The following is a 25,186-nucleotide window of genomic DNA, read 5'->3' on the forward strand; positions in this document are numbered from 1 at the left end:
AGGGCTGGACTCTTCACTGCTGTCTTCTGATGGTCTCAGCTGGAAGCTGCTGGGTGCTAGTCTGCACTGAAGAACCCCCAGCCCAGTGGGGGAGGCAAGCCGGGCACAGAGCAGTGCGTCATGATGGGGGCACAGGATTCCGTGGACATTGGCAGCAGGCATGCTCACCACATCTTGGGGTGAGTGGGATGGCAGGGAAGGGTCCCAGAAGAACTGATGAGGAATGCCAAGGTGGAAGTGCCAACCAGCAGAAGTTAGATGGAGAAGAGGCCCAGAGAGCAGAGTTCCCGAGAGGGAGAGTGTGCAGAAGCCTGGAGCCTGGAGAGGGGAGGAATGAAGGCGGGATGAGGTATGGCCAGAGAGCAGAGGGAATGCCACACAGGAGGACAAAGGAGAGATGCAGCTAGATGAGGAGAGAACAGCCACTTCATGCCAGCCTTGGGAGGTCCCCCGGGGAGTGCGGTCCCCTGAAGGCAGAGGCAGAGGGAGGCCATGGGAAGCACCCAGGGCTGGGCTCTGGGTGTATCTTCTGTGTTTTGATGGAGTGCTGCCCAGAGGTGCTGGGTCCCCTGTCCTAGGAGAGTCCTGTGTCTAGAAAAGCTCCAGGGACCACGGCCTTCAGATGGCCCTGCCTGTGGACACTGCGAGTATTGTTTGGCCTTCAGTGAGGGGCAGTCTTGATCAAGAAAATGTTCCTAGGGCTATGTTTCCAAGAGGAATTCAGAAACCCAGGCCGTCAGGTCCCGTGGTCAGCAGGTGGCCAGCGGCAGAGCGGCCACACCCATCCTGGTGCCCTCTCTTTATGGCTGCCACCTCCCTCTGGGAGGGCCTGGGGGACCCTGACACCATTCTGTGGGAGAGATGACAGTAAAATTAGGCTGTGGACATAATGTGAGCATCTTGAGAGTTCAGGAGCCTCTTATCCCCATTTGCATCCTCAGAGCCCTGCAGGTCCCCACCAGTCCCAGGACTTGCCGGTTCTGGGTTTATTTTGTGTGGTCTTTGAACTCCATATTTTGCGTTCTTTTCATCACAGAAGAACTATGGCTACTTCTATTGTGAGGCCAAAAGAAGACCTAGTCCATCTGAGAGGGACCTGCAGAATTCCAGTTCCATGTGGTGAAGAGGATGTGGGTGTCTGCAGTACTGAATTTGGTAGTATGCTGCTTGCAGTGAATGTCCTCTCATTTGGCACATCCCCCAGGCCCTGAGGGCTTCCGTGGGAACAGCTTTAGCTTCAGATCCAGGTCCAGGCACCATAAGTACATGTTGGAGGAAGAAATCCTTGAATGAATGGATGAATGAGTGAATGATTGAATTCCAGTTTCAACCTGAGGCAGGATATTTGAGTTAGTGATTTTTACCCCAAAGTAATTCTGGCATCCTACTCCATCTCTTCCTTGTGACCCTCTCCAAGATGAGTGTGTTTCCTTTTAAGGTGGGGGCAGCACAGAAGACTTCCCCATCCTGGTTCCTCCTCCTGCCCCCTTCCTTCCCAGGCTTGTTACCTCTGCATTTCCCTTGTATCAGAACCTAAGTCTTCTGAATCAAATCCCCCTAGAACTTGTGAACATTCATCTCAGATCTTACACTCATGGGAAAAAGCCCCCCATATGGCTTTCCATGGATGTGACTCTACAACCTAGGAGGAGTCCCAGGCCAGGCCTGGGCTGGACCCGGAAGAGCGAAGGAATTGATCATGGAGCTCTGCCATGGGAGGTGGTTGGAGAGGCAGCAGGTGGTTCTTCATTGGGCCTCCACATCTTCATTTGCCTAACCTTTAGTTTGGAGGGATCAGTTTCTTTATCAGAAATCCATATGTCCCTGAGTGTGCCAGGAATAATTAGTTGATTCCAATGGTGATTGAATGTGTCCTCACCTAATCTACCAACTACTAGACACAAATACTCACAAACCTGGAAGCTACCAAAATCTTTCTCTTTGCAACTGCGAAATCCTTCCTAATGCCCCAGACAGAGCTCCAATTTCCAGCCCATCCCTCTTGGATCCACATCCTCTTTTGTTCATTCATGTATTCTGGTAGTGATCAGGTGTCATGGGTGCTCACTCTGCAGGGACCTGGTAAGGTCCCAGACAACAGGAGAGGCAGGGCGCCCTTCTGAGTTCCCCAGCAGTTAACTCTTAGTAACGTGGGAGGGGAACAGGCTTCTTGGAGGGATGCTCATTGAGACCAGACACATGCTGAGACCTGAAGTGGGGAAGGGGGAGCATGCGGGATTTACTCATGGGAGACATGAGGCGACTCCTGCCTCCCTGACCCAGTGTGCTGGGGGCAGAGCAGCCCAGTGGATGGATGGCTGGCTCCCTGATGGAATGATGTGGTGGCAATGCCTCACTGCCTGCCTCTCTCCATGGTATAGAGGTGGGTTCCTCTATAAAAGTTTCCCTTCATAAAAGAAGTAGAGAAAGCCATCAGAGAAGGCCCGACACCTTTATAAACTGAGTTTCTAGCAATTTTGCAATTTTATTTAAGAACTGATCTCGCTTATATGTGGAATCTAAAAAAATTAAACTTATAGAAGCAGAGAGTAGAATGGTGGTTAAAAGAGTTGGGGTGGGGGCTAGGGTGGAGTGGATTGGGGAGATGTCAGTCAAAGGATACAAAATTTCAGTTAGATAGGAGGGATAAGTTCAGGAGATCTCTTGTACTTCATGGTGGCTGTAGAGAATAACAATGTATTCTATAATTGAAAATTACTGAGAGTAGATTATAAGTGTTCTTATCACAAAAAAAATGGTAAGGATGTGAGATGTGCATATTAATTCATTTGATTTCACCATAACACAATGTATAGATATTTCAAAACATTATGTTGTATACCATAAATATATGTAGTCATGCCTTAACAACTGGGATACGTCCTGAAAAATGTGTCCTTAGGCGATTTCTTCATTGTGCAAACATCCTAGAGTGTATTTACACAAACCCAGATTGTAGAGTCCACTACACACCTAGACTATATATGGTATGGCCTATTGCTCCTAAGCTGCAAACCTGCACAGCATGTTACTGTACTGAATATTATAACTGTAACACTATGGTAAGGATTTACCTATCTAGCTAAACATAGAAAAGGTACAGTAAAAATATTGTATAAAAGATAAAAATGGTACACCTATATATAGCACCATGAATGGAGCTTGCAGGATTGGAGTTGCTCTGGGTGAGTCAGTGAGTGAGTGGCGAGTGAATGTGAAGGCCTAGAGCATTACTGTACACTCCTGTAGATTTTATAAACACTGTGCACATAGGCTACACTAAATTTTTTTTTTTAAAGTAACTGCTGTGATGTTAGGATGACGACAACATCACTAGGCAATAGAAATCTTTCAGCTCGTCTCCCGTCTCCCTCTCCCATCTCCCTCTCCCTCTCCCTCTCCCATCTCCCTCTCCCTCTCCTTTCCATGGTCTCCCTCTCATGCCGGGCCAAAGCTGGACTGTACTGCTGCCATCTTGGCTCGCTGCAGCCTCCCTGCCTGATTCTCCTGCGTCAGCCTGCCCAGTGCCTGCGATTGCAGGCGCGCGCCGCCACGCCTGACTGGTTTTCCTGTTTCTTTGGTGGGGACGGGGTTTCACTGTGTTGGCCGGACTGGTCTCCAGCTCCTAGCCGCGAGTGATCTGCCAGCCTCGGCCTCCCGAAGTGCCGGGATTGCAGACAGAGTCTCGTTAACTCAGTGCTCAATGGTGCCCAGGCTGGAGTGCAGTGGCGTGATCTCGGCTCGCTACGGCCTCCACCTCCCAGCCGCCTGCCTTGGCCCCCCAAAGTGCGAAGATTGCAGCCTCTGCCCGGCCGCCACCCCGTCTGGGAAGTGAGGAGCGTCTCTGCCTGGCCGCCCATCGTCTGGGATGTGAGGAGCCCCTCTGCCTGGCTGCCCAGTCTGGAAAGTGAGGAGCGCCTCTTCCGGGCCGCCATCCCATCTAGGAAGTGAGGAGCGTCTCTGCCCGGCCCCCCATCGTCTGAGATGTGGGGAGCGCCTCTGCCCCGCCGCCCCGTCTGGGATGTGAGGAGCGCCTCGGCCCGGCCACGACCCCGTCTGGGAGGTGAGGAGCGTCTCTGCCCGGCCGCCCCATCTGAGAAGTGAGGAGACCCTCCGCCTGGCAACCGCCCCGTCTGAGAAGTGAGGAGCCCCTCCGCCCGGCTGCCACCCCGTCTGGGAAGTGAGGAGCGTCTCCGCCCGGCAGCCACCCCGTCCGGGAGGGAGGTGGGGGGGTCAGGCCCCCGCCCGGGCAGCCGCCCCGTCCGGGAGGGAGGTGGGGGGGTCAGCCCCCCGCCCGGCCAGCCGCCCAGTCCAGGAGGTGAGGGGCGCCTCTGCCCGGCCGCCCCTACTGGGAAGTGAGGAGCCCCTCTGCCCGGCCACCACCCCGTCTGGGAGGTGTACCCAACAGCTCATTGAGAACGGGCCATGATGACGATAGCAGTTTTGTGGAATAGAAAAGGGGGCAAGGTGGGGAAAAGATTGAGAAATTGGATGGTTGCCGTGTCTGTGTAGAAAGAGGTAGACATGGGAGACTTTTCATTTTGTTCTGTACTAAGAAAAATTCTTCTGCCTTGGGATCCTATTGATCTATGACTTTACCCCCAACCCTGTGCTCTCTGAAACATGTGCTGTGTCCACTCAGGGTTAAATGGATTAAGGGCGGTGCAAGATGTGCTTTGTTAAACAGATGCTTGAAGGCAGCATGCTCGTTAAGAGTCATCACCACTCCCTAATCTCAAGTACCCAGGGACACAAACACTCTGCCTAGGAAAACCAGAGACCTTTGTTCACTTGTTTGTCTGCTGACCTTCCCTCCACTATTGTCTTATGACCCTGCCAAATCCCCCTCTGCGAGAAACACCCAAGAATGATCAATAAAAAAAAAAATAAAAAAATAAAAAAAAATATGGAAAATTCAACAATACTAGAATAGCATTCTTCCATGGAGCTGAGTAGTTGCTACACACTTTGAACAGGACAGGTAGTCACCAGTTTGTTCCAATACTACCTTTTTCCATTTGTCCTTGATACTATAGGTCAAGTGAAAATGCAGAAATTATTTTTCTTGCATTATATCTTTCAGATGTAAGAGTAAAGTGAAAGAGAAAAGTGAAAAATTGATCAGATTTATGTCTTCATAAACATCTGATAATGAGAATTTTGAAGAAAAGTTTGTGTGTTTTGAGAAAAATGGGCAACAGTGTGGGAGATTGAAATAGTTAAAAATCTAGGACTTGACAAAGCCAGGACGTTTTACTAAGTTATGTGATCAGCCTATTGTATTTCCTGTAGGCCCAACCTGGTCTTAAGAAAAAAAAAAAAGAAAAGAAAAAAAAAAAAAAAAGAAAGATATTTTCCTGAAAAACTAAATCAAAACTGGTTAATAAAACTTTAATAAACCAAAAAAAAAAAAAAAAAAAGAAATCTTTTAGCTCCATTATAATCTCATAGGACCACCATTGTATATATGGCCCATTATTGACAGAGATGTCATTATGTGGTACGTGACTGTAGAATTTTTATTTGTCAATTAATAAATAAATAAGCTCACAAGATGTGTTAGGTGAGCAGGGCGCTCTTTGGGGCATCACGCATGACTCAAAGCACTTCAGTGCTGGAATGTCAAGTCCTTCTTCCCTGAAAATCGAAAGTTTTAAATGATTAGACATTCTATATTCCTTGGTATGTAGGGATGAAATGAACCCCATCTGTCAATACACAATTTCTGATTGATCACTGCTTTGGCCTTGTCTCCTTCCCAGGAGGCCTCAGCAAGAGCCATCTCTGTGGGTGTGCCAGCCACGGTCACTCTGGTGAAGCCCGCCTTCTCCTGCTACCACCTGTCTTGGGGGGCCCGATTGACTGCTGTGCTGTGGCCTGAGCAGTGCAGCTGGTGGGAGGAGGTGCTCTTCTAGATATGCAGACAGCCCTCTACAGGGAGGGGTGGACCACCGAGGAGAACCAGAAAGAGCCTCTTCTTCTCCTTCTCTAAGGCAGAGCACCCTAAACATTGCCCACAGGCCCTCAATTTCACACTTACCCAGCCAGTCCAAGCAGGAGGCACACATTTTGCATGCACACATTCTTCCACTGGAATCTGGGAGCTCTTTTGCTTTCCGGGAAATCCAAAGGAAGTTCTCAGAAATTGTGGTGTCTTGCCACCGCAGAATACCCAGCACAGAGTGACTCAGACCCATCTATTTATCAAGGTGGCCCTCACAAGCAGTTTCTCCTTTGGGTATCAGGAAACTGAGTTGACACAGTTTTCCAGGGTAGGGACTGTCTTGGTGATAAGAATTTTTTGGGAAGAGAGATTTTAAATTTTCATTATGGAAAGCTCATTACCTGCCCCCCCTTTAGAATTTTAACTTGCCTGATTATTGGCATGGCCTGAGAAGTGGGGAGGATGAGGACTTGCTGAGAGAGGGCAGGTGTGGGTGGCAGGAGCATGGCATTTTTTGGGAATGAGGCCTCATGTCCTGGGTTAGCAGTCATGACATCTGAAACTCCCAGGACTTTTTTCTTGGGCTCCCTGGGCAGCCTGGGCCAGCTCTGCAGAGCCTTGAGGTCAACAGTGGGTGGGGAGCACAGACTGCCTGACTTCAGGAACCCTTTTCCCTCTTCTGACTGAGTGACAGCATCCTCTCTGAGTCTCAGCTGCTTCGACCCTAAAATGGGGGTAAGACCTCTTGCTTTACCCCTTGCTGAGACACTGGGCAGACTACCTTCAAAAGCTATGGTGGTTCCCAACAGTGAGGGAGGTGGGGAGTGCTTCCCTGGGGGTCGTGCACCGTGAGTACCAGAACAGAAGGCCTGTGGGTGCAGGTTGGGAAAAGCACCTATGGACTGTCGTGAGCTCCCCCTCCAACCTGTTGAATGGGATTGTCCCGAAGACCAACCCTAATGCACGCTCCGTGGGACACCTGGCCCTATGTAGGCATTTATAAAGAATAGCTATTTTTTTAACTTTTATTTTAGGTTCAGGGGTACATGTGCAGGTTTGTTATATAGGTAAACTCATGTCATGGGGGTTTGTTGTACAGATTATTTCGTCACCCAGGTACTAAGCCTGGTAGTACCCAATAGTTTTTTTTTTTTCTGATCTTCTCCCTCCTCCCACTCTCCATCCTCAAGTAAACCCCTAGTGTGTGTTGTTCCCCTCTTTGTGTCTGTGTTCTCATCATTTATCTTCCACTTATAAGTGAGAACATGTGGTATTTGGTTTTCTGTTCCTGTGTTAGTTTACTAAGGATGATGGCCGCCAGTTCCGTCTGTGTTTCTGCCAAGGACATGATCTTATTTTCTTATGGCTGCATAGTATTCCGTGGTGTATATGTACCACATTTTTCTTTATTCAATCTGCCATTGATGGACATTTAAGTTGATTACATGACTTTAAGGATAGCTGTTATTTATTACCCTATAAATCTTGAATTCTTCCTGTTCTTTTCTAAGATTTATGGGTATTTTCTCCTGCATCACATTGCTTTAAGCATGCATAATTTTGCTTAAGCTAAGAGGCCAATTCTAAAAAGAAGAACTTACTTTCAGGGAATCATTAGCTTCACATTCCAGTTTTCTCTCAAGGACATTGTGGGATGTTAGATTTGTCCTTCAGAACATTCCTTTTGGGAGGTTAACATGGAGGGTTTGTTTGGTTTCTGCTTTTTTATTCTGGTCATCACTGAGATTACATTTCTCAGACTGGATTCTTGCTAGAGGTTGTGGTTGCCGGCTCCACGTTAAAAAACCCGTCACCAAGTATCTCATCTCCTGTCCCTGCTCATTGCTCCACGAGCCCAGCAGTAGCTCTCAAACATGAGCATGCACCAGAACCACTTGCTTGGATAATCTCAAAGTTTCTTTCTGCAAGATGCTTATTCATCACAAAGGGGCAAACAGCAACTTTCCATTGGAGATATCTAATAGATACCACCTAAACCAGATGACCTGAGTTAACATCACCTGTAATGGGACATACCTGTCATCCTGTATCTCTTGATAGGATGCCCAAGAAGAGTAAAATCTTATGTCTGTGGTATTTTTGCCAAAAATGCATAATCAGAATTTAATCACAAAGAAACAACCAACACGCCAAATCTGAGAGGCAGTCTACAAATAACTGACCAGTACTCTTAAAATATTCTGAAGTTATGGAAGACAGACTGAGAAACAGCCCCAGATTGGAGGAGACAAGGAGAGATGGCAACTAAATACGCTGTTGGGACCCTGGACCCAAAAAAGAACATTTGTGGACAAATGGCAAAATGTGAATATAAGTTATAGAGTAGTTCATAGTATTGCATCACCATTAGGTTCCTGATTTTGATAATGTACTATGTTTTGTAGGAGGTTAACTTTGGGAGAAGCTGGGTGAAGATTCCCAGCAACTTCTCTGCACCAGGGCATGGAGAAAAGCACTCAGGTGTGGGAGCAGGAAAGGTCTGGACTAGGTTCGAAACTTGTTTCTGATGACTATCAGCTGAGTGACTCGGGGCAGGTCCCATTACCTGGCTGAGCTTCTGTTTCCTGATCTGCAACCGGGGATGAACTGCCCGCCTCCTGGTGTTACTGCAAGGATAAATGAGGTGCTGTGTTTGGTTCACAGTAGGTGATACTCCCTTCCTACTGCCTTGCCTCCCCAGCTGTAAACCATCAACTCCTCTTCTTTCCTTCTTTCCAGCCTTTCCCCTGACCTGTCCCTTATCTCTGCCAACCCTCACCATGCACCCTCTTGGATGGTGTTTTCAAACAAAGCCTGCAGGTGCATTTACTCCCAAGGTCTAGAAATCTGAGATGAGAAACTTTCTCTGTTTCTTGCTGGATGGAGCCTGAGGTAAAATTGAGCCCTGCATCCTGCCTCAGCTGTCTTTTTGTGAGTTCTGGCTTCCCATAGAATTATCATTCAAAGGGTTCTACCTGACCTGCCTGCAGTTCGCAGTGTGGTCCCTGGACCAGCAGCATCAGCATCATCTGAGAGCTTGTTGGAAATGCAGAATCTCGGGCCCCACCCACAGACTCAAGACTGCACGTGTGCAAGATTCCTGGGTGGTTCATGATTCAAGCTTGAGACTTTCTCCACTCGAGGACTTGTCATAGAGGTTGATTCCCAGGTGAAAGAACAGCTTGCCTTCTCATCGTGTGCCTCCACAGTGGAGGCTGAATAGGAGTCAGTGTGAGAACTGAGAAATGTGAAGATGGGTTAGAAAAATCTGCAGGACATGCATCATTCCCTGTCAGGCCCTTGTGTGGAGTTCTCTCCCCAGACATTTCAGGGGCCTGAGATCCTGCTGACAGCCTAGAATTTCAGCCAGGACCTCTGTATGGGGTTTCCTGGCCAGGATCTTGCCTGGGGGTGCTGCTTATTTTCTGCAGGGACTTGGGTTTCTCATCCTGTTCGCTAGCCGGGGTGAAGCATGCCTGGGGCCTCCACACGGTAAACTTTTGCTGCCAGAGCAACTCACAACCAGGACTGTAGCCTGGTTCTGAGGGTGTTGGAGCTGGCATCCAGGCTCTGCGAGGGTGTCCACAGGAAATGAACTGTACAGATTGCTTTTAAATGATAAGAGGCTTGTGGCAAGACTGAATAATTCTCAGCTTGATTCAGGTACTGAATAGGCTGTATTTTAATCTAAGCTAACGTTTCTTGAATGACTCGGTGTCCGTGAGAACCAAGCCATGTGCTTTATGTTTCTCGTTGTTTAATCTTCACCATGACCCTGCAAGGTGAAACCGCCACTAGCCCCATTTTATGGCCCTGAACACTGGACCTTACAAAGGCTAATGTGGCCCAAGGTCATGTAGCTTATACGTGGAGCTGGGATTTGAACCCAGAATTCTCTTGAGTTTGGAGCCCAGCTTTTGAACCGTGTGCTGTACTGATCCCAGCTCCTGCCTGGCATCTGAAGCAGGACAGTCAAACCAACGGCTTCTTACAGGCAGGGCGGAGGTCATGGCCCTGCAGGCTCCTTCCAGCATCTGTGTCCTTGCCCTGGATTAATCAGGTGAGGCGGGATGTGCTGGTGGCCACTCTTGACATGTCAGGGATAAGTGTTGGGTTCTGGGTTTGGGTCTCTGGCTCCCAAAGAGGGAAGAATTTTGTGCCTGGAGATGCAGGGTCAGAATGCCCCCTTTTTGCATGGTAAGTGGTGCTCATGACAGTGCTGCTCCTCGTGGCAGGGCCATGCCAGTGTGCAGGAGGCACACAGTAACTTTGAAGTGTGGGATTTCGCCTGGGTTCAGGGCATTCTGGGAGTGGGCTGCACACAGAAGGGAAGTAGCTCAGAAAGGCACCGCAGGTCACACCCACACCATGCAGTCGCCATTCCTGTTTTGTGTTCATTTTCTTTCCTTTCCCCCTCCCTTTCTAACAGATAAGCAAGGGAAAGCGGAAAACCACCAGAAACTCTAAATTAACACCTGCCCGGTTTAGTTTATCCTTTCTTCCTCAGGATTCCAGTGCAGGAGAGGCTGGTGTTTTTAAAACCCAGTTCTCTCTTAGACTCAGCTGAAAGGCTCAAAGGTAATTAGCTGTTATGGAAAGACTGCATTGTCATTTTTAAAGGCTGCCTTGTGGGAGTGATCATTATCTGCAGCAGGATAGGAACACGGCAATAAAAATAGACCCCAGACCCTTGTCTGCAGGAGCTAAAAGAAACCAACCAATTGGTATAATGAAAATTAGGCAGTGGGCCGAAAGTTGCCATTCTCTCACTTTTTAGTTAGAAAAAGTGTCATAAAGAGAATACAGTTTATTTACTGTTAAAATTTAGTGGATTCAGAAAAGCAAAAATAATGACAAAGAATCACCCATAAATACTACCACTCAGAATAGCTGCTGTTAGTGCCTCAGCAAATGTACTTCCAGTCTCTAGCTCCGGTGCTCATGAATAAATGTTTATTTGTACAGAATGGAGATCACGCTGATGTATAATTTTATAAACCACTTTTTTTTTTTTTTACCCAATAACATTTCAGTCTTTTCCTATGTCAAATGCCCTTTCTTTCTTTCTTTTTTCTTTTTCTTTTTTTTTTTTTAGACACAGAGCCTTACTCTGTGGCCCAGGCTAGAGTGCAGTGACGCGATCACAGTTCACTGCAGCCTTGACCCCCTGGACTCAAGTTATCCTCCCATCTCAGCCCTCTGAGTAACTGGGACTACAGGCATGCACCACCACACCCAGCCAATTAAAAAAAAATTTTGTGGAGAGAGGGTCTCACTATGTTGCCCAGGCTGGTCTCAAACTCCTGGCCTCAAGCGATCCTCCCACCTCAGCGTCCCAAAGCACTGGGATTATAGTTGGGAGCCACTGTGCCCAGCCATAAATGCCCTTTTAAGTAGCATTTACAATGGCTGCATTGGATGAAGGCATAATAATTTATCTAAGAACAGCAGCAATGATGATGAGGAGGAGGAGGAGAAGGAGGAGGGACTTTTGTGTAGGACTTGCTGTGAGCCGTGCCCTATGCCAAACCCTTTTACAGGAAACTCATTAGGCTGTGTGGGTGTGGGTTGTCTGCCCACCTAAGTGAGACACTGACCTTCCCTTAGGGTGCCCCAATGTGATTTAGGGGCCCTCCAAGTTTTTTGCAGTTGCCCCTGGGACAGATGAGGAGGATCCCAGCAGAGTGAAGCCTGCAGGTACCCTAAGCCTAGCAGACAGACCGGGCTCACCTGGGCTGCAGAGCCTGGAGCTGCCACCTTCCTGGGTGCACCTCTTCCCCCTCTATATTCCGGAAGGCCTCCCGGAGTTTCTGAAGTGGCTAGAAATTACTATGTGACAGTGTTTTTGTTTGTTTGTTTGTTTTTTAAAAAAAGAGCCTTAGGATAGTGTGGCAGATGTCTGTTAATGACTTCCTGGGTATGAGATCCTGGGCTTGATACTGAGATGTAGAAATGAATAAATTATGGCCACTGCCTTCTAGGAACTGGTGGAAAAGACCATCTTGGAATCCTTATAAGACAGGGCTAAAGCTTAGCTGTGCATAAAGCCAGGGACATGGTCCAGGCTCATTTCTGTTCTCACCACTGGCCTGTGTATCCAGTTCATTCCCACTCCCCCACTGTCAACCACGCTGACTTTTAGCAGGGAAGGAGTTGGTGTGTTCAGAGACCTGGCCCTCAGGGAGGTGTGAGATGGACAGGGAGGGGGGTCACCAGGATAGAGACAACACAAACAGGCATCACATTCCATGAGAAACAAAAGCCGGAAGGAGGTTCTGGAGGTGGCAGTGATGTGAGACTTTTTGTCCCTTACTCGCTTCTGTATTATTGGGTTTTTCTTTGCAGTGAGAGTGTAGTCATGTATTATTTGTATAAATAGAATCATTTAATAGACAAACAATGTAAGGAAACAGTTTTGCTCTAGGCTTTTCAAAGATTCATCTCCTTACACATTGTATCATCCCTAAGTCATTGCAACGTGATGATTTTGCAGTGAGAAAGATATGGCCCACATTTTAGGTGGGAGAGAAGGGAGTGGCCTGTAAAGTATTTCTGGCCTCTCTGGAGCTTTGCAAAGGTTTCATGTGTTCTTGCCCATGCAGCCTGCAGGTTTTGGGTCCCAGCGCTGCATCTGGAGGGGTAAAAGCGTGGTGCTAAGTGATGATCTGGAAAACTGAGCAGGTTAAAAGCATAGAATGTGATTTTTCCCCACGTGAAATGGCATTGGATTTTTAATTATGTATTTAACTTTTGAAAATGGTAAGAAATTCCCAAAGTGAGCAGCGAGGTGGGGAGTGAGTAGCAAGCATAAACCAGGTCTCTGGCTATTTTTAAAGTGTGACTGCCTCAGCAAAGTGGAGTTTTCTGCAAAGTGGAGTCAAGGATAGCAGAGAGTGGCACAGACAAAACCCCATAGAAACTCTCTCTCAGACTCTGGGGTAATGGGGGCACTGACCTAAATAAGGACAGGAATCTGCCAAGTACAATGAGCTCAGGCTGCAGGACAGGCGGAATTGAGGGCGCTGTGTCTTCCATTCACACACCGGCCCTGTGTGCATTCAGGCCCCAGATGACATGTAGGCCACTGCCCCATGCCAGCCAGACTGCCCCAGCCCCACCCACAGAAGCTTTCCTGGTTCAAAGGGCTTGATTGAAGATTGAGTGATAACAGGGCTAAATCCCTGACCAGAAACACTAGCCGAGACATAGGATTTTATCGTAATAATCCCAAGAAATGAGCGAATCTCCTTGGGCTCCAGGGCTAGGTCAGAGAGAACAGTTCTCAGTGGACTGTCAGCCATGGGGCTGTGTGCAATGTGAGCCACATATGCAATTTTAAATTTTCTTTTAAAAAGGCAAGAAGAAACAGACAACAGTCATTTTAATATTTTTTATTTAATCTAGTATATCTAAAATATTAACACTTATGCACATAATCAATATGAAAACTATTAAGGAAATGTTTTACATTCTTTTTGTGTACTCTTCAACATCTCAACTCAGATCTGCCGTATTTCAGGTGCCCAGTGGCCACATGTGGCTTATGGCTGCCATATTGGACACCAGCACTAGAAGCCATACACTCAGCACCTTACAGAGTGGGGCTGGAAAGCTGCAAGGATGCTGTCTGGGCCCATGAAATCCTTGCATCTCATGTAGAGTCCTCCTAATATTCATCTGCCATTAAAAACAAAAGCATTACACCTTCATAAGTTATAGGTAATAAGAATTATTTACATTTTCACAGGCCCTTCCAGTTACAGGACACTTTGGTATGTTTTCCTGTGCACCTAAAAACTCTATGAGGAGGCTGAGCACAGTGGCTCATGCCTATAATCCCAGCACTTTGGGAGGCTGAGGCAGTCGAATCAGCTGAGGCCAGCAGTTTGAGACCAGCCAGGCCAACATGGTGAAACACCGTCTCTACCAAAAATATAAACATTAGCCAGGTGTGGTGGCGTGCACCTGTAATCCCAGCTATTCGGGAGGCTGAGGCAGAAGAATTGCTTGAACCTGGGAAGTGGAGGTTGCAGTGAGCTGAGATCGTGCCACTGTACTCCAGCCTGGGCAACAGAGTGAGACTCTGTCTCAAAAACAAAAACAAAAACAACAACAAAAAAAACTCTATGAGGGAGGCAGGCAGATATCATTCTTTTGGCAAAAATTTATTGAGGGTCTGCCAGGTGCTAGGCCCTAATTTGCATACAACTCCTGCATTCCTAGAGTTTGGATTCTAGTGGAAGAGGAAAACAAATCATGATGTCAGCGTGGTTCGAATGGTAGTGGGAATATGAGTGCAGCTCGGCAACACATGAGAAACCTTTAATCTGCCCATGATATCAGGGGATGTTCTTCAAAGGAGGGATATTTGATTAGAAAAATACAGAATGAGGAGCTCTGTGCTGGGCAGATAAGTGAGGGTGGAAGGAGCACTGCACGTTCTGAACATAGTCCATTTGGGGCAGAACTTCTGACCCTGGTATGTCCATTTTAGACCCCAGACAGGTTAGGCCACCTACTTGAAATCCTACCACGTGTTCACAGGAGATGGGGCTGGAACCCAGGAGTTTGAGCTGGTCAGTCCTCAAGCAACAATTCATCTTGAAAAGGTGGTTCTTTATGCAAGGTCTTTAGGACGGGGATAAGCGTGGGAAGGGTTCCAGCCCTAGAACCTGCTCGATCAGGTGACCTCAATTCCAGGGTCCTTTCCTGCGTGCAGCTACCATTTTTGGTTTTGAAATCTGCAGAATATTTTGAATACAATTCTGCTGTGTCATCATGCTAAAGTTCAGTAAGGATGTGTGCTTGAAGTCTGTTTATAAAGTGTTTCTACTTTAGTAATCCTCGAGTCTTAGAAGAAGAGTCACCATTTCCTGGAGATTTTGAACCCCAGGTGAACTGGCTGCTTGTCTGGAATCTCAGTGCAGGAGTTTTTTTTTTTTTTTTTTTTTTTAACCTAGACAGGGAGCCAGTCTCTTGCCTTTGTTCACACAGGCCATTGGCCACCACTAGGGCAGAACAGAGACAGTGCCAGTCTGAAGCCTGCGGCCCTCCAGGAACGGTGCCTCCTCTGTACTCAGCAGTTTTTATTTTTATCTCATCAGCGTGTTCCTCCTTTTGAAGTGTGAATCCTAGTGACCCAAATGAGCTGTCTGCCTGGGCCTGGGCCAACAGGACCAGGTTACTTGAGTTCAGTGGAGACCCTGGGCTGCGGTGGCAGGGATGCTGGTTCCTGTGTGACTGGATGGGGGTGGGGTAGGCAGGCTTACTGGGGCCAGAGGCACAGGCAGCCTGCTCAACTGACAAATTTTCAAACCAGGAGGACTTCATGCTAAAAATAAACTGGATCCTGTATTCCCCCTCCCTCATTTGCTTCACAGCAGCCCTTTACAAAGAGTAAGCAGCATTTGCACAGTTTAGATGTTAACATTTAGAAGTGCAGAATTAAGCATGTGTACCTCACAGTGTTTGGCTGTGGATGCAATTCAGGCCCAGTGGCTTTGACAGTTGTCTCCATGCTGATGCATTGGAACAGTGTGGTGGAGAGTGGTTTAATACTCAGTGGTTGGGCATTGGGGGTGTGCTGTGTCACTGGAATTGAGTGGTCAGCAGTGGTGCCTGATGCTGGAGGCAGGGAGTCTGGTAGAGTTTGAGAAACAGGAAGGCAGATGGGCCCCCTATCCCTCTGTTGGCTGATGCCTGAGACACACTTGGTTTAGAGGGAAGAGAAAGAATACTTGTGGGTCCTCTATGCTGTAACAGGAACTGTACTAAGTACTTTTCCTGTGTATTCCTGTGAGTTCCACACAACTAAGCATATCCTCATTAGAGGCAGTGATGCTTCAAGGGTGGTTCCCAGACAGCAGCATCTGCGTCACCTGGGAACTTGTTAGGAATGCAGATTCTCAGGCCCTGCCCATGGTCTATGAAATGAGGATTCAAACGGGGTCCAGCAGTCTGTGGTTTAACAAGCTCCTGGGTGATCCCCGTGCACGCTAAAGCTTGGGAACCTCTCCTGGAGAGGTAGAGCGCAGACCTGGAGCTAGACTGGTCTCAGGCCTCAGGTGTTTGGCCTTCGACAAGTTGTGCAACCATTTCTGTGCCTCAGTGTTCTCATCTATGAAGTGGGGGTAATAACAATGGGGTTGTGTGGGATTACATTAAGCAATGTATGTTAAAACCAGCCATGGTACTGGGCATGTGGTAAGCATACCATAAGTGCTTGCTGTAACTCACTAGCTTTGATCCCATGTCTGTTTAACTTCAAGGCTGTTTACTCATTATTTTATACTCACTGTCTCTTAGCAACCTAACTCAGTTAGTGATTCAGGTGTCTAATTCTGCAAAAACAAAAACAAAAAAAGTAGGTTATTCTATAGGTCAAGGCTAGCAAGGTGGTTTCCTTTCTCATTGCCGGCTCTGTTTCTGTAGTAGGGGCCACCTGGTGCCCTGTGAGGAGGATTGTAGAGCCAAGCCTGAGCTAGGCATATACACGTGTGCCGTTATTGATGAGAGATGTCTGTCGTGGGTGTGCAGGGGTGTGATGTGCCCTCCTCTGCTGATGCTGGTTTTTGCCAGTCAACTTAGTGTGAATTTCTGATCCTTTCCTGTAGCTGGGTTTTAATGGGAGGCTATTAAGAGCCACTACTGAATACCGCGGGCCAGAGGAGTCATGTGGGCTGCACATGTTTGGCTGCACATGTTTAGGGCCAATTATCAGGAGACTGCATGTGGTTTCTGGGCAGATCTCGCGTGAACTACCAGAGCAAGAACTCACTCATTACTGTGGGAAGAGTACCAAGCCATTCATGAGAGATCCACCTGCATGACCCAAATACAGATATGGAAACTATCCCATTTCTGTATATGGGATATAAGACACATATCCCAATAGACACCACCTCCAACATTAGGGATCACATTTCAGCACGAGATTTGTTGGGGGGCAAACATCCAAACTATATCAGGCACCTCGTGCTGGTTGGCTGTGGAGATGACTGAGTCCAGCCAGTGCAGAGGGAGGAAAAGCTCCCTTAGAGGGTGGAGGAGGTCTCGGGGGAGGATGGAGAGGACGTTGAGGCAGGTTTGGACTTCCTGCAGGCAGCGAGGGTTTCCAAAGCAGACAGGCAGCTGGAGATGAGGTGGTGGGTGGGTAGGGGAAGTGGAGGGAAGGCAGGACCCCAGTTTTAAGAGTTAATTGTTGTAACAGAGCAGGAAAGTGATAATAAGGGCCCAGAAATACAGGTTGAGTGTTTGTAAAGAAAATTTCAAACTTGTTACTGATGGGTTTTTTGAGTGATTTGAATAAAAGGAAAAATAAACCAGATTCCTTGGTGGAGAAGACTACATTTCATAAAGATGACAGTTCTTCTAAACCAATGCAAAGGGTATTTAATATGAGTCCAATGAAATCCCCATGGAATTTTTAGGAACACAACAAAATAGTTCTAAGATTCCTCTGAAAGAATGACAGCTGAAAATAGCGAGAGGATTTTTTTTCATGAAAGAGGATAATGATGTCTCCTTCAGCTTGTTCCCTGCATACCTTCCAGAGCTGTCTTTTTAAAACATGAATCAAATCCTGGCTGCTTCTGTCATCCTGCGGCTATTAGAATAAACCTGAGCCCTTCCCTGGGACCTGTGTGGCCTGCCTGGCTGGCCTTTGACACCTCCTCCCTCACTCTCTTGCTCTCCCAGCTCCAGCTGTCCTGCCTTCCCTCTCCTCCTAGAAAACATCAAGCTTCTTCCCACCTGCGCATTTGCTGCTGCCTCCGCGTAGACCTTTTCCTTTCTCATGACTCACTTGTTCTTGTGATGTTCTTGTGGCCTCTGCTCAAATGGCTTCTCCAGGAAGCCTTCCCTGACCACCCCATCTCCTAACACTTGTTCCTGTCATTTCTTCTCCTCTATTTTCATCTGAATTACACACTTTATTTATAGTGTGGTGGCTCAGAGCATAGGCTCTGACCTGAGCTGCCTGCATTTGCATCTGGCTTCACCCCTTACTGCTGTGTGCCCATCTAGGCATCAGTTTTCCTCATCTATGTAATGGGAATAACAGTGTCTATGTCATAGGGCTGTTGTAATGTGACATGAAAAGAGCCTCACGAGCCTGTCACACAGAGTCAACAGATGTTGTTGCTTGTTCAACCTTCATTCACCCCACACCAGAAAGGGAAGCAAGACAGAAGCGCCTTGCCTGGTTCACTGGCAGTATCTTCGGTGCCCTTCGGTGCCCAGAACTATACCTGGCACATTCTGTGGCATGGTAAATAACTGTTGAATGAATAGCATGATAGTAAAACATGCTATACATGCGCAGTGTTAAAATAGCAATTGGTGTCTGAGTAGAGATACAGATTAAAGGAACAGCATAATAACTCCAGAGCCAACCCTAGCATTTATGAGAATTTAATAGATGGTGAAGCAGCGGCACAAATTAGTAGGGAGACAAGAAGGATAATTTAGTAAATGACCGATGAAAAAAAATTAGATCCTCTCCTCACAACATTTATCAGAATAAATTCCAACTAGACATTTCAAATTCTAAGAAAAACTAAGAAAATATATGAGGGTATCTTCTTTTCTAGGGAAGGGTTGTCTTTTTAAGCACAAAACCCTGAGAAAAAAATCAGAAAGAAGAAAGAGCAGTGGGTTCGACTACTTTTAAAAATTACCTTTTGTGGCTGGGCGTGGTGGCTCACACCCGTAATCCCAGCACTTTGGGAGGCCAAGGCGTGCGGATCAACTGAGGTCAGGAGTTTGAGACCAGCTTGGCGAACATGGCGAAACCCTGTCTCTACTAAAAGTACAAAAATTAGCCAGGCGTGGTGGCAAGCGCCTGTAAACCCAGCTACTCAGGAGGCTGAGGCAGGAAAATAGCTTGAACCCGGGAGGTGGAGGTTGCAGTGAGCCAAGATTGCGCCACTGCATTCCAGCCTGGGCAACAAGAGCGAGACTCCATCTCAAAAAAAAAAAAAAAATTAACTTTTGTGTATCACAAGCATTAGAAACAAAATGTAAAGTTAATGTAGAAAAATTGCCTCAAGTGACAGAAAAAAATGTTTAAAGCCTGTAATATAGAAATTACTTACATAAATCTAAAGGGAAGGTCATTTATATCTCAATAGAAAAATTAGCCAAAGGAAAGATATAGAACCTGCACAGAAGAAATACATGCAGCCAAGTAGCTATAGGGGAAATGTTTAACTTACGGGTAATCAAACAAATGCAAAGTAAAATGAGATGTCAGTTTTCCTCTATGAAGTAACCCAGTGGGGACTGTGTTAAGAAAGATACATTTCTAAATTGCTGGGGGGAGTGTAGCTAGAAATAGCTTTTCTGTCACACAGTTTGAAGAGGCTTAACTATGTACAAATCTTTTGACCCAATAGGTCCACCTCTGGAAATCCAGCTTAAGGAGATCGTCAGAAATGCATCCCATATATATGCAAAGATATTCATTAATCATAAGTCAGAAAAATGTGAAAAAATTAAATACCCAGCAATAGAGGAAACAGTAAATTATAGTACATATACACCAGAATACAATATAACCATTAAAAATATTTTTTAAGGTTATTTAATGTAGTGGTTCTTAACCTCTGTTTGCATCATGCTTGCTAATGTCCCATTGGCCAAAGGAAGTCACATGGCCAAGCCCAGACTCAGTGGGAGCCGACTACACAAGAGGTGAGTACTAGGGGGCCACTGTGTAACCATCTACCGTATGTATTCATGATATGATTGCAGTTTCTAAATATAAGACACAAAGACACATGTACATGTAGGAATATACCAGTATGTAAACAGTGGTTATTTTAAATTTATTATTTGTATTTTCAAAATTTCCTATAACAAGCATATATTTTATCATCATTAACAAAAGTATACCTTAAGAAAGCATGGCTGTGGCCGGGTGAGGTGGCTCACGCCTATAATCCCAGCACTTTGGGAGGCCAAGGCAGGCAGATCGCCTGAGGTTAAGAGTTCAAGACCAGCCTGGCCAACATGATGAAACCCTGTCTCTACTAAAAATACAAAAATTAGCCAGGTATGGTGGCATACGCCTGTAATCCCAGCTACTTGGGAGGCTGAGGCAGGAGAATGGCTTGTACCTGCGAGGCGGAGGTTGCAGTGAGCCCAGATCGTACCACTGCACTCCAGCATGGGCAACACAGCAAGATTCCAACTCCAAAAAATAAAAATAAATAAATAAATAGAAAGCATGGCTCTGGATATGGAGAAGCTAACCTAATATATTATGACACATTCAGGAGGTGGTTGAGTGGATGGAATTAACTGGCACTGGTGGCTTTTTAGATGTGGTGGATGAAGTGGGGAATGGGGGCGTTCAAGAATAGTGTGACTCGGGCTTGGTCTGATGGTGTCTGAGATGGGGAAAAGGGATGTGGTGCAATTTGCTTGGAAAGTCTCATTTACCATGTTGAGTTTGAAGTTCCTGCGAGGCACTGTAGTTAGAGGCCCAACAGATGTTGAAAAGACAGAGTTGGAGTTCAGAAGCAAAGCGAGGATTGGACAGAAATATTGTTCAGATTATTGGTGGTCATTGTGAGGGAGAAAACGTGATTGCCCAGGAGTGGCATAGAGGAGGTCGGAAAGAGCACAGAAGACAGGTCCTTGAGTTCACCAACATTGAAGGCCCTGGCAAAGGAAGCGTCAGGCCAGCTCTAACTCCAGACACTGCTTCAGTGTGACTCCACTCACAAGACCTTTCCTGCCCACAGCCTTAACTACCCCTTACCCCATCACATGTAGGCTCAGCATCCTATGCTTGTCATTTGGAGGGTCTGACATGTTTGTCATGAAATTGATTGGTGGGCGTGTACCCCCCCGGATTGTCGGCTCCACAAGAGCAAGGGCAGGGCAGGGTCTGTCTTGTCCTCTGTTCATCACTGTTGTCTACAGCAGTGCTTGACACAGGTTTTCTGGGAGGCTGAGTGAATGAAAGCATGTGGCAGCCAAACCTGGGAAGTGATGGATAAGGGGGGATCCATAGGATGGATAAGAATTCAGAGAAGATGTTGGTGGTCCAGGAGAGTTTTGAGAGAAGAGTTTCAAGGAGACAGCAGACACCAGTGCCAATGATGAGAGATCAAGAAAGATGGGCTCTGGAAAGATCTAGAAAGAGCAAGCTGTCTTAGAGTAGGGATGGAGGCAGGTCCTGGGGGAAAGGAATGGATCGATTCTGTCCAGAGCACAGGTGGGTTCACTGGTCTTGGGAAAAGCCGTAGAAGCTCTTCAGAGTGGGCAGGACAGCAAAGAGGATGGGACAAATATGGAAGAAGGAAAGAAGTTCACATAGTAAACTGACATCATGGCTCTGGGTCCACTGGGCTGACATTTGGTTTTTCAGACAGCATCCACAGGAAGTAGCTGTCCTATTTGAGAGATAATGTTGGGCTGTCCCATCTTGCACCCCCACAAAGCCACTGGCTATCCCCCAGAGCGTGCTGTGGCTCCTCATCAACAGGTCTGGTCAGGGAGATCATCAGTGATTCTGTGTAAAGTTGGCTGTGGTGTAGTCTTCGTCAAAGTGGCATCTTAATTTGGTCTTATATCCCATTCAGTCTGGTCGCATCTGCCTCTCCTGGGAACTTGTTGGAAATGCAAATTCTCAGGCCCTACCTCAGAGAGACTTAAGTAGGAAAGTCTGGGGCTGGGGCCCAGCCGTGTGTTTTAGGAACATTCCCGGGTGATGTTCACTAAACATGGAGAACCTTTATCTTACTCCAGAAATACAAGCCAGCAGTTGTTGCAACCTAACTAGCGCTGGCTGACATTGACGCAGGAGCTTCCCAGCAGGAATGGATGTTTCTTCCCGCCGCCTTCTTGGAAGTGCTTTTGAAGTTGACTCCACTCAGAACCTCCTTTGGAATTCCCTGAGCGGAGAGAATCAAGCTGGTATAATTAGAGGCCCCTGTCATGCAGCCACTCGGTATTACGGGGTCAGCAGTTTCTGCTGGGATCCCAGGCAGCTTTCCAGGCTTGACTCTGATCTGCACATGAGGTTCTGAGCCAGTGAGGAGCTCCTGGGCCCCCCTGAATTTGGTATTTTAAATTGTAGACTATGAGGGACCAGAGGGGCCTCAATTGCAGGCTGGAGGATAGGGTTTCATGCATAGCAGCTGGAATTCATAGCAGTGGCGTCTGGGACCCATAGCTTTGAAGACACGGGTGAGATGCTGTTGCTTAACGATAACCAGACACGAGCCGAGCCCACCCGCTGCTGCCCTCCCTGTGACTCTGCACCCCGCAGCGCTGCACCAGGGCAGTAGGCGCCTTGGCGCCATGCGGGGTCATCAAGCCCCTAAATGCACCCTCCTGTTCCCCAGGAGATGAAAGCCGATTTGGCGGGGCTGGGGGCTGCTGCTGCTGCTTTTAAGGGGCCCAACCTTTTAACTGCAGCTCTCAGTATGGACATCCAGCAGCAGATGTTAATTGCTGGAGAGGTAGGTGGAACGTTTTCCTCTTTGTAATGCAGATGCACAGATATCTAGAGGCCAACCAGATCCCCACACATCCGGAAGCTGATTCCAGAAACCAGGTTTGAAATTTCACAGCCAGCCAAAGCTCTCAATGCAGAATAAGTGCCCATTTGTCCCTGAAGAGGGATGCCCACTTGCATTCTCAAAGCCTGTAGGCACCATGTGTTGGGGCCATTGCTGCCTGGGATTTTTGTGCCAGTCTGTTCTGCACTGTTGAGTGCAGCGTTGTGGTTAGATCCTTGGGGAGTAAGGGCTGGTCCCCTTCCCCTGATGTTAGGGCTGTTTCTGGGTGGGAGGTGAGAGCAGGCAAGTGCCTGCAGTATCTCTGGGAGACCCTGCTCCCCTTCTGGAAAATCTCTGGGCCTCCCTGCAGACTGCAGGCATGTGTCCAATACAACTAAATTCTTTTACATTTTGTACACTTCTGTGGGTAAGTCTTCCTTTTTAGCCAAAGACAAAGAGAGGATGGGAGCCCTACCTCCTCCTGGGTCTAGTTTACCCATATGATTTTGAGCCAATGGGTAAATCTTTTCAAATACCTTTTTTTCCCTCTCTCTCCAGTGAGTGGGCTTTAATCATGCTTATTACAGCTGGTGGGCCCCCATATAAAACCTTTGGGGCAAAATATTGATAGTAGTTAGATTTGGGAATCTAAAAATCCTATACATAGTATTCTAGTTTATCCAGAGAAGTATATCCAATTATCAAAGGAGAGGAAGGAGAGAAGAGGTTCCAAAGCTCAGCTAAGTTGTTTATTGACTGCCCCGCACAAGGCTGCTGAGCTTAGAGGACCTTTCCATGTGACTCACAGTGGTGGAGACAGTTCCCTGGAACTGTTCCCCTCCTGTCACCATTGCTCACTGGTTCTGAGGAAACAATTGGCAATCGTCAGTAAAATCTTCAGTCTCTTTAGTGCTCAAGTAAATGTAAATTTAAACTGCGTAATAACACCTTTTCCACCTATTGGATTGGTAAGGATTTTCAAAATTACCCAGAGCAAGGGAGTGGATTGTGCAACTGCTAGTGGAATTGTAAATCTGCAAAGCAATTTTGCAAAAGTTATTACACACCTTAAAAATGCACACAGCTCTTGACCTGGCACACCTGGGAAGGTATTGTTTGAAACAATTAAAGTTGTGCAGAGTTCAAAGTTTTTCACCAAAGCGAAAAATGTGAAATGGCCTTGATGTTTAAATGTTCAAAAAGACTTATTAAATTATAGCATGTATCTATATATGTGTATATATCTCCATTAAAATTATGTCAAATAATACTTAATGACATGAGGTCATATGACAATGAATAATAATGACAGTAATTTACAACATTACTTGGTGGCAACTTAAAATAACAGACAACAGCACATACAATATGATTCCCATTTTATTAAATGTATACATTCATATTTTAAAGGTCTAGAAGGATACATATCAAGACCTTAATGGTAATTCCTAGGTAGCAGAATTATAGCTGATGTTTCCTTTACTTTTTTCTGTATTTTAAAACTTTTCTGCCATAACTATATGCTTTATAAATGACTGCTTTTGTTAGTGGAAAGGGGTCCCAATCCAGACCCCAAGAGTGAGTTCTTGGATCTTGCACAAGAAAGAATTTGGGGCAAGTCCATGGAGTAAAGTGAAAACAAGTTTGTTAGGAAAGTAAAGGAATAAAGAATGGCTACTCCATAGGCAGAGCAGCGGCATGGGCCACTGGTTGCCCATATTTATGGTTATTTCTTGATTATGTGCTAAACAAGGGGAGGATTTTTCATGAGTTTTCAGGGAAAGAGGTGGGCAATTCCTGGAACTGAGGGTACCTCCCCTTTTTAGACCATGTAGGGTAACTTCCTATAAACTGTCACTTACAAACTGTCATGGCACTGGCGAGAGTGTCTTTTAGCATGCTAATGCATTATAATTAGTGTGTAACGAGTAGTGAGGATGACCCGCGGTCACTTTCATCACCATCTTGGTTTTGGTAGGGTTGGGCCAGCTTCTTTACTGCAGCCTCTTTTATCAGCAAGGTCTTCATGACCTGTATCTTGGGGCAACCTCCTATCTTATCCTGTGACTTAGAATGCCTAACCTCCTGGGAATACAGCCTAGTAGGTCTCAGCCTTATTTTACCCAGCCCCTATTCAAGATGGAGTTGTTCTGGTTCAAATGCCTCTGATAACTTTTAAAACAAATAACCAAAAGATTCCTGTGAAATGTGCTCTTATAATTGCTATTGTAAACAACTCCCTGCCCAGAGAACCTAACTGGCTGGTTTGTGTTACAGGGAGAGAGGGGGGATTGCTTTTTACTGATTAGAGAGGCCATGGGCTCTAACAAAACCCAGAGGTGAATTTCACCTGGCCTAAAAGGAAGAGAAACCTTGCTAAGAGGTGAAAGGTCAGCAGTGAATGCCAAAGGAGGAATTTTGGCTGGAGTATTAATTTGCAATCACAGACCCTGTATTGTGTTAGCTAACTTTCTAATTTTCAGTATGCTCTGAAAGCAGAAATTTCTTTTTCTCTTGTGTGTTCAGTTAATCACTCTTACTCTTTCCTAGAGAAATGAAACAAGAAGTTCTTAAGATGGTGGCAATGAGTGGTTGAGAACAGCAGCAGTAAGCCTGGCTGGGCAGAAACGATACTCTGATTGTTATTAAGAACTGCGTAACGGTCCCTAGGGGCCCAGGGCAGAGCCAGTATCATTCTATTTTCAAGTGCACGAGGGGGGCTCATTTATAC

General features: G+C 46.6%; 1 protein-coding gene across 1 annotated transcript in view, besides 2 other annotated features; it reads left to right on the top strand.

The window, feature by feature from the left end:
* The window catches only part of EEPD1 (endonuclease/exonuclease/phosphatase family domain containing 1), a 148,285-nt gene that overhangs the window by 39,761 nt on the left and 83,338 nt on the right, over positions 1-25,186 (top strand). The window lies entirely within an intron of this gene.
* Positions 21,560-22,397: an enhancer, noted in NCBI's record as "OCT4-NANOG-H3K27ac-H3K4me1 hESC enhancer chr7:36254183-36255020 (GRCh37/hg19 assembly coordinates)". NCBI's record gives its function as "activates a minimal SCP1, AML or CMV promoter by ChIP-STARR-seq in primed H9 embryonic stem cells {active_cell/tissue: H9 hESC(primed)}" and the evidence as "EXISTENCE:reporter gene assay evidence [ECO:0000049][PMID:30033119]".
* Positions 22,398-23,233: an enhancer, noted in NCBI's record as "OCT4-NANOG-H3K27ac-H3K4me1 hESC enhancer chr7:36255021-36255856 (GRCh37/hg19 assembly coordinates)". NCBI's record gives its function as "activates a minimal SCP1, AML or CMV promoter by ChIP-STARR-seq in primed H9 embryonic stem cells {active_cell/tissue: H9 hESC(primed)}" and the evidence as "EXISTENCE:reporter gene assay evidence [ECO:0000049][PMID:30033119]".

This window comes from Homo sapiens, chromosome 7 (genome assembly GCF_000001405.40).
Source record: "Homo sapiens chromosome 7, GRCh38.p14 Primary Assembly".
Lineage (NCBI taxonomy): Eukaryota > Metazoa > Chordata > Mammalia > Primates > Hominidae > Homo > Homo sapiens.